We start from the raw sequence: 12416 nt of genomic DNA on the forward strand, positions 1-12416 counted from the left end.
TCTTCTTTTGCCTCTTCATACCCTTTCAGAAAAGACTCGTTAAAGTCAGAACCTGCTGGACAAGAAGGCCTATGGCAAATCCTACTGAAGATAAATTTATAAGCCTTAAGAGAATAAGGACTATGACAAAAACAATCCAAACCACAATAATTCATGGTAGGAAATATTGTGGCATCTACATAATAAAATGGTTGAGGTCCTTCTTTTGTTAATTTTGAGGCCTATAATTGCTCCTTAACTGGTCAGGTATCTTAGATATCAGCTGGCTCACAGGAGAATGTATCTTCATAATATAAACCCAAACGTTGCTTATAATAAACTGTACATATAAAAAATCTTAAAAGAAAAGTTCAATATTGCAATATAGATGTCTAATTTCTAGGTAAATTTAGTAAACAGAATATGTTCAACATGGAGAAAATCACACTCCAGAAATAAGTTAAAAATATTTCAACATCTAAAAAAAAATTCAGCAGCACCCACAGATACAGCACATAGAAGAAATTAAAAAATTATGAATAGTTTTAATAAATAACACTAATATCATATGTCTTTAACCTGTTGATATCGATCTCCCTCTATATTTTAAGCTCTCTCTCTCTTTAAAAAGACCTGACCCTGGGTAAAGGGTAGAGGATGGATCAAAGAACAGATAATCCTGGCTGGGCGCACGCAGTGGCTCACGCGGTGGCTCACGCATGTAATCCCAGCACTTTGGGAGGCCAGGGCGGGCGGATCACCTGAGGTAAGAGTTCGAGACCAGCCTGGCCAACATGGTGAAACCCCATCTCTACTAAAAATACAAAGGTTAGCCAGGCGTGGTGGTGGGTGCCTGTAATCCCAGCTACTTGGGAGGCTGAGGCAGGAGAATCGCTTGAACCTGGAAGGTGGAGGCTGCAGTGAGCCACGATTGAGCCACTGCACTCCAGCCTGGGCAACAGATCGAGACTCCGAGACTCCATCTCTCAAAAAAAAAAAAAAAAAAAAAAAGAAGAAGAAGAAAGAAGGAAATATCCTGAAAGCAGGGATAACGGTTAGTTAGGAGAATACCAGAACAACCTCAGACAGTGGTGATAAATGACTGGTTCAAGGAGAATAAGAGATAACGAGGCAGAAAAGAGATGAATAGAATAGGCTATGTAAGCATACAAAAACCCAAAGGATTTAATGAGACTGGATTTAAGCAATGAAAGAACAGAAAGAGACAACAATTTTACAACAGGGAAATTAACAGTGAGTTTAGGATAAAAGTAAACAGGTGCAGAAAATAAGTGGGTTGAGGAGCTGTAAGCAGAGAACATTCTAGCTTTAATGAATTTAATACACATATCCAGAATTTTGCAATCAGAACACCTAGAAACTATTTTTATTTCAGCATGCATGTAAATTTTTGTATCATTAGGGAAAATAGTCTTATTTTTAATTCTATACAAGGTAGAGGGCACATTATAGTCTTTCAAAGCTTCAGTACCTCTGAAGGTTTAAACACATCCTGCAAGGTTGCTTTAGTGTTTGTATCTTTGCCAAGTCTGAGATTATAGGAAGTGAATGGGTTTGTGGCATAAATCACAAATTCCTAATCCAAGGAACTTCACAGGGAAGAAGAGGGGTAAAAAAGGACAACTTTGCCTCCAGGTAAATAAACTACTGATATCTTCAACTAGTGCAAGGGAGAAAGGAAATACCCCACAAGGAAGAAACCTTAAGATTCATAACTGGAAATAAAAGAAGGATAATCCTCCTGGTCATTAAGTCCAAGGCAGCTCAACTTTACTGTGCATAAACTCAAGCCTAGGGTTAAACTGGCCAGGTGCGGTGGTTCATGCCTGTAATCCCAGCACTTTGGGAGGCCAAGGCAGGCAGATCACTTGAGGTCAGGAGTTCAAGACCAGTCTGACCAATATGGTGAAACCCTATCTTTAATAAAAATACAAAAAAAAATTAGCCAGGTGTGGTGGCACACACCTGTAATCCCAGCTACTTGGGAGGCTGAGGTGGGAGAATCACTTGAACCTGGGAGACGGAGGCTGCAGTGAGCTGAGATCGTGCCACTGCACTCCAGCCTGGGCGACAGATTGAGACTCTGTCTCAAAAAAAAAAATTAAGAAAAAGTTTTGTAAGCTAACTCCTGCAGAGAACAAGTTCAGGCTAATGTTTAGGACAATCAGAGGAGTCAGTGGAAGAAGGGAAGGCCTGAAGATGACTAACAGATTTTAGTCATAGCAGGAGCACGTGCTCATTTCTCTGATTAGATCACATTTCACAAAACACACTAGATTACAATTTCAAAAAGAATTCCAAGCTGTGTGATAAGCAGAACCTATTATAAGCAGCAAAGAATAATGCATTTTTCTCTATTAAAAAAAACTCCTCTAAATTATATTACCATGGTGGCTTAAAGAGACATATTCTTGTTTTGTAATAACTATAGGACCAAGTCTATAGCAAGAGTCCATTTTCAACTACAACTTACACATTTGTCACCTTTTATGAACAGCATGATGAGATCGAGAGGATAATCTGCTGCTCTTAACACTGAGCTGCCTCCAGTGTTCTAAATACCATACTACAAAGCTTCCACATCACTGGATCAGGATATAAGTATAGATACCAAAACCTCAAGCCCGGTTCTGCTTCATATTAATTTGAACCATTTTTTTGTCATTAAGTTTCATTTATTATCCAATTTGACCTTCTTTATCTCTTAAAAGGAATATTTAACCCATTTATCTTTATTACTAACATTGATATGTTTGGTCTTCCTTCTCTTGTCTTTTAGATTTATTTTATTTGCTCCTGGTTTCCTAGTGATTTAGATAGTACATATCCTATTTTAATTTCATTAGAGATACTTCTAACAATCTAATCATTTTTAATGTCCCTCTCCCACTAAAACGTCCCATTATGCCCCCTATTTAAAACTTCTAACAGTTATATTTTTCGAATTCTCTTATTTTACTAAATTCAGTGAATGTTAGGGGGTAGGCTGGAGACTCCAAATACAATTGTACATTTCTTTATACAAATATCAATATTTAGACTTAACTCTTTTACTGATTTCCTTACCCACAGCCAATCCTTATTTATTGCAATACCAAAACATACTTTTACTTAAACTTTCCAATGAGCAATACGTTCACATGAGTCAAAATTCAAAAGGTCTACAACTAAGTTTCTTTCCCCTCCCATCTCCTCAAGCCACCCAGTTTCTATCCTGGAAGCAACCAATGTTATCAGTTTCTGCTACGTTATTGCAGAAAAACTATGTATTGAATCATCCTTGCTTCCTTTTCTAAAACAACCCCACTATCGCTGAAGTATTACTCTTTCGTGCTGTTGGAAATCCTCATGCTAATAAATATTTTTAAAAGATTTTTTGTACTGACATTTATAGTGAGAATATTATAAAAAGTTATATTTGCTTTATAAAATTACTCTGAATGGTTCCCTCTTTATAATCAGAAAGTTTAAAGAGCTTTGAAACTAATCATCAATCTTTTAAAGATCTTAAATAATTTGCCTATAAAATTCTCTGGCCCTCAGGCTTTTAGAGAGATAACTCTTACACAACTTTCTCTAACATATTGGTTCTCAGGAGTCTTTCGCACTCTTAAAAATTATTGACAACCCAAATAACTTTAACTTTATATGGGTTATAGCTATCAATATTTACCACAGAAATTAAGTATTTACCATAGAAATTAAATTTTTAATATTTAAATATTTAGTTAATTTAAAAATATATAAAACAAAATTTATTTGAAAATATCTAATGGCTAAATATTGTTTAAATTTATTTAAAAAATTTATTACTATAAACCCATAACATGTAACATAAATAACATTTTTATTAAAAATAACTATATTTTCCAAAACAAAGAAAAATTTAATGAGAAACGTCCGGCTGTTTCTCATATCTGCTAATACACTGAATTTACTGAGACATCACACATCATGCAGCCTTGGAAAACTCCACTGTATCCTTGAGAGAGAATAAAAGCAAAAAAGGCAAATAACATCTTAGTATTACGATGAAAATAGTTTTAACCTCACAGACCGCACTTTAAGTACTGCTGGATTAATTTATGTTTTCTACATTCAGTTCTGATAAACTGTAATTTTTAAGAAAATTTTCTGGATCATACAAGTGTTCAAATATATTTTTGGGGTCAAGCAAAATAGTCCATTTCGATTCTTATATTTTCTCTTTATCTGTGGTGTTTTCCCCTCTTAGTTTTTGAGTATGCACGTTAGCTCCATTCAATCTTTAAGTTAGCTAGCAACTTATCTCTTTTATTGCAAACAACCAGCTCTTAGTTACAGAGTTCTACTTTTATTTTAGTTTACTAGTTCATTGATTGCTGTTTTTTATCTTTAACAACTACTTTATCTTTTCTTAGTGTATTTTGATATTATTTTTCTAATTTCTTGAGTTGGACTACTTAGTTGACTTATTTCATTCTTTCTCATTTATGAATATAAGTATTTTTTAAGGCTATGAATTTTCCTGCAAGCACTGCATTAGCTGAATTTCATAGATTTTCCCATCTAGTCTTTAATTATCACGTTTTTATGGTCTACCTCTTTGACCCAAGAAGTACTTATTTCAGAATTTGAAAAATTTCCAGGTGGCCAGGCCTTTTTGTTTTCTAGCTTTGCTATTAATTTCTAGTATCAGTGATCCTACGTCCTCTGTCAGTTGCCTCTCTTATTTCTTCCCTTTTCTTTGAGACGAAGTCTCGCTCTGTAGCCAAGGCTTGAGTGAAGTGGTGTGATCTTGGCTAACTGCAACCTCCGCCTCCCAGGTTCGAGTGATTCTCCTGCCTCAGCCTCCTGAGTGGCTGGGATTACAGGCACGCACCACTGCACCTGGCTAATTTTTACTATTTTTAGTAGAGATGGAGTTTCACCATGTTGGCCAGGCTGGTCTTAAACTCCTGACCTCAGGTGATCCACCTGCCTCGGCTTTCCAAAGTGCTAGATTACGGGCGTGAGCCACCATGCCCGGCCTCTTCCCTTTTCTTTGTAGCAAAAGTCTCTAAAAGAGTTGTTTATACTTGCTATATCTAATTCCCATCTTTCTGTTCTCTCTTAAATTCACTTTAATTTCAGGCTTCCCCTACACCATATCCACATTGCTAAATCAATGTTATTGATTTAGCATTCCTCATCTTACCTGAATTATCAGCATAATTTGGCAAAGTTAATCAACCAAAATTTGATTTTTTTTAATGCATGGTGTGAACAGGGTCCAAGATTCACTTGATTTAGTGAAATTGCTATTTCTACCCATTGCATTATTTATCTTCTACCTACTTCATTACCACACTTGTCACAAATCAAATATCCATATATGTGTGGGTTATTTCTGGATTCTATAGTATGCCTTTATTCTATTGTCAGTCCTTGAATTAACATCACCTTGACTTAATTATTATTGTTTATAATAAGTTTGATATCTATGAGATGTAAACTCCATAATTTCATTCTTCTTCCTAATTGTCTTGGCTATTCTTGGAGCTGGGATTTTTTCACTGTGATTTCACTAAACCTATACAGATCAATTTAGGAAAGAAGAAAAACTGGCATCTTTAAATACTGAATCCTCCAATCCATAAATAACAGTATATATATTTCTATTTAAGTTATCTTTAATTTTTCTATGTAATCACTTACAGTTTTCTATGTAGAGTTATACATATCTTTAGTTAGATTTATCCCTACATATTTGATGTTTCTTGATACAAATTCAAATTATATATTATGTTAATTTTGTCACTGTTACTTTACAGAACTCCCACTACGTACTGACTTTGTATCCAGGAAAACTGCTAACTTCACTTATTAATCCTAACAATTTTCTAAGTACATAACTATGTCATCCATAAAAATGATACTTTTTCTTTTCTAGTCCTTATACTTTTCATTTCTTTTTCTTGCATTACTATACTGGCCAGAACCTCTGAAACAATACTGAATAGGAAAGATGATGAAAGATATTCTTGATTTCTCATCGCAGAAAGAATGTTTTAATATTGCGCATTAAATATGATGTTTGCTATGGGTTTTGTAGCTAATGTTTCAGACTGTTTAAGTTTTTCTCTGTTCCTAGCTTGCTCAGAATTATAAGAAAGAACAAATACTCAATTTTATCAAATGCTTTTTTTTTTTTTTTTTTTTTTGAGACAGAGTTTTGTTCTTGTTGCCCAGACTGGAGTGCAATGCAATCCTGGCTAACCGCAACCTCTGCCTCCTGGGTTCAAGCGATTCTCCTGCCTCGGCCTCCCAAGTAGCTGGGATTACAGGCATGCACCACCACGCCTGGCTAATTTTGTATTTTTAGTAGAGACGGGGTTTCTCTATGTTGGTCAGGCTGGTCTCGAACTCCCGACCTCAGATGATCCGCCCGCCTCAGCCTCCCAAAGTGCTGGGATTACAAGCGTGAGCCACAACTTTTCTCCTTTATTTTATTAATATAGTGAATTACACTGATTGATTTTTCACTGTTAAACCAATCTTATATTCCTGGAAAAATACTAATTAGGTCAAAATATATTAATTCTCCCTTTGTGTTATAGATATAATTTGATAATATGTTATTTAGGATGTTTCCTCTATATTCATGAGCGATTTGGCTGTTATTTTTTGTTCTTTCCACAACCTTGTCATGTTGTAGTATCAAGATTACATGCTAGCCTTACGTAACAAATTGTGAAGTGTATCCTTTTCAGAGTTTGTGGATGATATTTTTAGTTTGACAGTTTATTTTTTTCTAGCACATCAGAGCTATTTTTCCTTTGTCTTCTACCTTTTTAGTTTCTGTGGAAAATGAAACCATCTGTTTCTGGCAATCTCATAATTGCTCCTTTGAAAGTAATACTCCACTACCCCTCATTACTTTTAATTCTTTGTCTTTGATTTTGGTTTTCATAGTTATACTCTGGTACACTTAGGTGTGATTTTCTTTTAATGTTACTCTGCTTGAGATTTATAATACTTCCTGAATCTGTCCCTTAATGTCTTTTACCAACTTCTAGAGATTTCTCAGCCATTGCTTCTTTAAAGACTGCTCCTGCTACATTTTTCCCTCTCCTCTCCTTCTAGGACCTTAATTACTTTTTCAAAACATTTTGTGCCAGATTACAGATGGGAGATTAAAAAGGTTTTGACCTTGCATCCCTTTGACAACCAGGGTTGGGAGAGGGCTGTGTCTTCCCTCCATGACCCTGAGCAAGCTGTGTGACACAGCTCATCAACAGAATATGGAAATGCGATGTTATGCCAGGGTCTGGGCCCAGATCTTCAGACACTATGAGTCCTCACACTTCCTCTTTCTTGAAATGCTTGCTCTGGGAGAAAGTAGCTGCCATGTAATTAGTCCAACTACCCTAAGACTTCCCTGAGACTGCCATTTATGGAGAGAGAAAAATGTTGGCACCACACCTAAGAGTGCAGAAGCCATCTTGGAGGTTCCAGCCCTGGAAGATGACATGAGATGGACCAAGGCCCTGGACATAAGGCTCCAGTGTCACCATCCCAGCCATTTTTAAGCTGTCTGAACCATTCCAATCAAAGACCAAGACACTGTAGAGCACAAGCAAGCCAAACTTGATATATACCCTGACTGAATTCCTGATTCTCGGAATCATGAGCATTAAAAATAGTGGTTATTTTATGCCAATAAGTTTTGGGGTCATTTGTTACTGGGAGAGGTAATCCTCCTCCGAGGCCCCGAGTGTCCCTACACATTCTTACTGATGTCTCAAGAATACAAAGCCCTGACTACTCTCTGCCTAGGACATGTCCCAGGGCTCTGTTTGCAGCTAGCAAACTTAAGGGATGAGTAACATCTCTGTCCTGCAGGTGGCAAGAAACATGAGTCACAGATCACATTAATGTATTCGGTGAGTGAGATATTTCAAAGTTGGGATTTATTTCTAAGACATAGCACTTTAGGATTCCAACCGAAGCCTGAATGGTTTACCAGCACCAACCTTCCAGCCTTGCTGGGCTCTAAACACCTGTTTTTGTTTCTCTATCCCTAAGTGTCCATAAAAAGCTCTGCCCATCTTCTAATCCACCTTTCCCAGAATCAGTACATGCTATTAAGAAGAAAAGTGGCCTGAAGTTCTGGACTTATCTCTCTGCCTCAATAGCATTCAGATACATTTGAATACATACATGTCTTTTACATTTTGAATAGTTTTCTCATTTTTTAGAGCATCAATCCAAATTACTTTAGCTAACATTACTGAAAGTGGAACTCCTCCAGAAACAGATTTAATATGTTTAATATTTAAGGTGTTTAGAAGTTCTGTTTTTTCCCCTTTCCCTCCACTATAGGCCAAATCCACAAAGAATGCTTGTTTTTGAAATAGGCATTCTACCAAGCATCTTTAAAGGTGATATACATTTTCAAATAAACCTAAAAGATAAGTTAAACTACTGAAATACCTTTATAAAATATCATTTGCACAAAAACATTTCAGTTGAAGTAGTGAAGACTAACCATTTGGAATAAAACAACTTAAAAAAATCTTTTTAAAGAAAAAAAAGTAATAAATTAGAGGAGAAGAGAAAAGCTATATCAACTTTCATATTTTAGTATCTTCCTCTTCTAATTGTCTCTAAGTATTTACTAAGATTACCTAGAAATAGTGTCATTTACATGACCTAGGTTTTAAAAACATTCCAAACATAATAGAGTTTTTTTTCTGGTATTCTTTTTCCCTTGGAAAACTGTGTAATTTTATTAAAATTTGTAGTGAAAATCCGAGAAACTTCATGTCTACCAACACTTACAGTGGAAAATACGAAAATCAATATATGGGTGAGAACCTCTTCTTTCTGATTCAAATCCTGCTCGGCTCCTTACACGTACATCTCCTGGACAGAATCAAGAATAAAACATAAGTTTAGAAGGTTGTCATTCGGGAAGAAGCTTCCATATGCAACAAAGGTCCGTGTGGTATCATATTCATAAGTAACAGCCCACTGATCATATATGTGGAACAGGTAGTTAAGAGCTGATTTATTCAAAAGGGTTCACAAAATCTCAGTAATTAATTGTAAGGCTGAATGAGGAGGATTTTTTTTAAATCTACCCCTATAATAATTATTATAATCTATATTTTAATAAGTTAGCCTTCTGAAAGAGGATTCAAGTGTATGATAAGATGACCTAATATATTATTCACATGGGCAACATTTTTTTTTTTTTAAAAAAAGGCCATTGGGAAGCAATATCTGTTTTACAGGAGGTTGAAAATCCTCAGCACAAAACTTTAGAAAGCTGCAGAAAGAAGCAACATATTTATTAAGAGCCGACTCTGTGCCTAGCACTATACTATGGGCTAAAAGGGATATGAAAAATGGAAAATACATTACTTATTTTTAAGCAGTTTACAATTTCATAGATGTGTAAAAACTTAAAATGTTAAAGACTTTGTTTTAAAGTCAATCTGATTAATCACTCTTTTCTCATTGACAGTGGGTACATCCAAGGCCTTTAGCTGAGTCTTAAACTTTGGTCTTTGGAAGCTCAGTGTCGTTCCTACATGTGCCCACATTACTTCCAGATTTATTTTTCTATACAGCAACATAACCATAGCAACCATGTTCTAGACACTCTTTTTCGTGTTTTACAGGCATTATTTTATTTTCTTCTCTCATCGACCCTCAGAGATAGGAATCTTAATCCTCATTTTACAGATTCAAAAACTTGACTTTGAGAAGTTAAATAGCATGCTCCATGCCACAAAGCTAGTACAAAGGGTAAGTCAGGATTTAAACCCAGCTCCATGGGTTCCAAAGACAGTACTGTTCTCACTACACTTTTACAGCCTCCAAGTTCATAACCTTTAAATCTTCAGCCTCTATCCCTTTGCTCTTGCAATTTGGCTTGCCTAGAGGGCACTCCTGCTTACTCTGTTTCTCTGAGTAGGACCATGACTTCCTCCAAGGCTCACTTCATCGACTATAATTCCATCCCACAATGACTAGTCACCTGTCCTGTGGCCATTCCTTCATGCTGCAACAAATGTTAACATGTCAAGCACTGGAAATAAAGCAGTGAGCAAAATACATAAAGTCCCTGTCACTGTCCTCATGAAGCTTATCTTTTTGTGTGATGACACAAATAATAAATACCAAATTTCAGTCTATGGAAGATGATGAGTTACATGGAGAAAACTAAAGGTAAGAGGAATGGCGAGAGAGGAGCAGGGGAGGGTGACTCATTAGTGCAGTCAGAGAAGGCCTCACTGAAAAGGAGGCATCTGGGCAGGGACCTACAGGAAGTGAGGCAGTGAGCCAGGGAGGAAGAGCCAGTGTAAAACTCCCCAAGACAGAAGCATGCTTGGCACAGTCAATGGCAAGGCAAGAGGCTGGCGTGGCAGGAGCAAGGTGAGTGAGGGGAACTGGTGGGGGTGGGGTGGAGAGGCAGTGGAGTCAGATCATGCTGGACCTTTGTGGCCATCAGAGACTTCTGAATAGAGGAGTCAGATGATTATGTCTGAAAAGGTTCACTCTAGGTGTGATGAGAACAGAGTCAGGGAACACAGGTAGACACAGGGCCTCCAGTTAAGGAGTAAGTAATAAATGTGGTGGTAACAGCATTGGTGTGGTGAGATTTGGGTGTATTTAAAGGTATCAACCAGTAGGATCTGCTGATGAATTCAATATGGAGTGTGTAAGAAATAGGAAGTAAAAAAATGACTCTGAGGTTTCTGACCTGATGACAGGAAGAGTGGAGTTATATTTACTGAGATGGCAAAAGACTGCAGAACACAGACATGGGGAACACAAATGTTTTGCTTTAGACATGTTAAGTTTGAGGTATCCATAACATTTACATGGAGATGTTCTACAGAGTTAAAGAAAATATGAATCCAAAGCTCTGTCTTAAGGACAGCGGAATCCTGAACATGTTTGTTAGAGAAAGATGGAGACAGCAAGGAGAAAAAGGCTGCACATTTGTGGGGGAAAAATATGTACTGGAGTAGAAAAGAACTGAGGCAGGTAAGACACACAAGATAAAATAAAGAGGACAAAAAGGAATAGGAGTTACAATAGAACTCTGGGGAACACTTCAGCTTAAAAGTATGAAAAGGAATTAGTGAAGGTGGCAAAGAAGAAAACAAAAGTAGGTGAAGAATAAGGATGGATCAGTATCATAAAGTTGAGGGAGGAATTCTGAGCTGAGGAGGAGTCGTGGGAGAGACTTCTAACAAAAAATGAATAAATTTGCCTGTTGGAATCTTAATATGCATGTTTAATAATATGAGTTAAAGTGCAAGGATGAAGGAGACATGGATGAAGACAGAAATCTGGCACAGAGAAAAAGAGAAAAAGAAAATTAGACATATATACGCACATATCTAAATTCATTTTACCTTGCGGAATTGACTAATATATAAAAAATTTAAGCACCAGAACTAGAAGAAGTCAAATGGTCTTCCTTACCAGCCAACTGAGAACAAAATACATCTAGTGACAGGACTATCTGAGCAGGTGTTTCACAGCCTCACCTTTGTCCATGCTGGCATTCATCTATTTGGTATTTAGCCACTCTACAAATCTAAGACTATTTTCTATGAAGAATGTTCAAGATGCAATTCGAAACTGTGTACTAATGACAGTGTCCCAGTTATTAGGCCAAAGATTTCTCAATTACCTATAACTCTAAAATGCCTCTCTTTATTCACATCACATTCAATATTGGTTTCCAGACTCTAAACTCCATGAATAGGTTATTTCTACTACAAACAGTGATGAAAAGCTATCTAATGAAAGATACCTCAAACTCAAATAACAACAGGTAATAACAAAATTAACTGATATTGGTATAAAATAAATAATGCTTACCTAGCATACGAATGTATAATGCAGTCTGATCAGAACTGTCATAGGAAATAGCTCCACGCCTCTAGAAAAAAAAATACACATTATAATACATGACAATTAAATATGATACAAAATTCAACTCAACAAACATGTATTCATCATTTATTATTTGTGAAGCACTGTGCAAGAGAAGTTGGATACACAAAATGAAATTAGCTATGGTACCTGTTCTTGAAATCTCTGGGGTACGGGGACGACAAATAATTGTAATACAGTATGGTTAAGAACTACCATAAAAATGGATACAAAGAGAGACACATGCAGCCTCTCTTTGGAAATTTAATCTGTTTGAGTAAGTCAGTAAAGGTTTTGGGGTGACATCTGTGTTGACTCAAAAGGGATCGATAGGAGTTGCCAAATATTAATAGAAAAGAAAGGAAAGGACAATCCACTGGCTTTCCTGCTGCATCTCTTTGGTCCCCATTCCATGCTTCACATAAAAGCAAAAGTAAGCACTTCAGCTCCTGCTCAAAATCCTCCAAAGGCTCTCCATCACACTTGGGGCTCCCCAA

At 36.5% G+C, this 12416-nt stretch overlaps 2 protein-coding genes across 9 annotated transcripts in view; one reads left to right on the top strand and one right to left on the bottom strand.

Moving 5' to 3' along the window:
* Positions 1-7681, top strand: part of MTFR1 (mitochondrial fission regulator 1) — a 134710-nt gene extending 127029 nt beyond the window's left edge. For all 5 annotated transcript variants that reach the window (XM_006716484.3, XM_047422463.1, XM_011517626.3 and 2 more), the window contains one exon: positions 30-7681. In XM_006716484.3, coding sequence (XP_006716547.2) covers positions 30-212 — 183 coding nt within the window. In that variant the 3' untranslated portion in view covers positions 213-7681. The remainder of the gene's footprint in view (positions 1-29) is intronic.
* The window catches only part of PDE7A (phosphodiesterase 7A), a 127731-nt gene that overhangs the window by 56584 nt on the left and 58731 nt on the right, over positions 1-12416 (bottom strand). For all 4 annotated transcript variants that reach the window (NM_001242318.3, XM_011517540.4, XM_017013538.3 and 1 more), the window contains 2 exons: positions 11866-11926; positions 8803-8886 (listed from right to left, as the gene is read on the bottom strand). In NM_001242318.3, the coding sequence (NP_001229247.1) occupies positions 8803-8886; positions 11866-11926 (145 nt within the window). The remainder of the gene's footprint in view (positions 1-8802; positions 8887-11865; positions 11927-12416) is intronic.

Source organism: Homo sapiens, chromosome 8 (assembly GCF_000001405.40).
Source record: "Homo sapiens chromosome 8, GRCh38.p14 Primary Assembly".
NCBI lineage: Eukaryota > Metazoa > Chordata > Mammalia > Primates > Hominidae > Homo > Homo sapiens.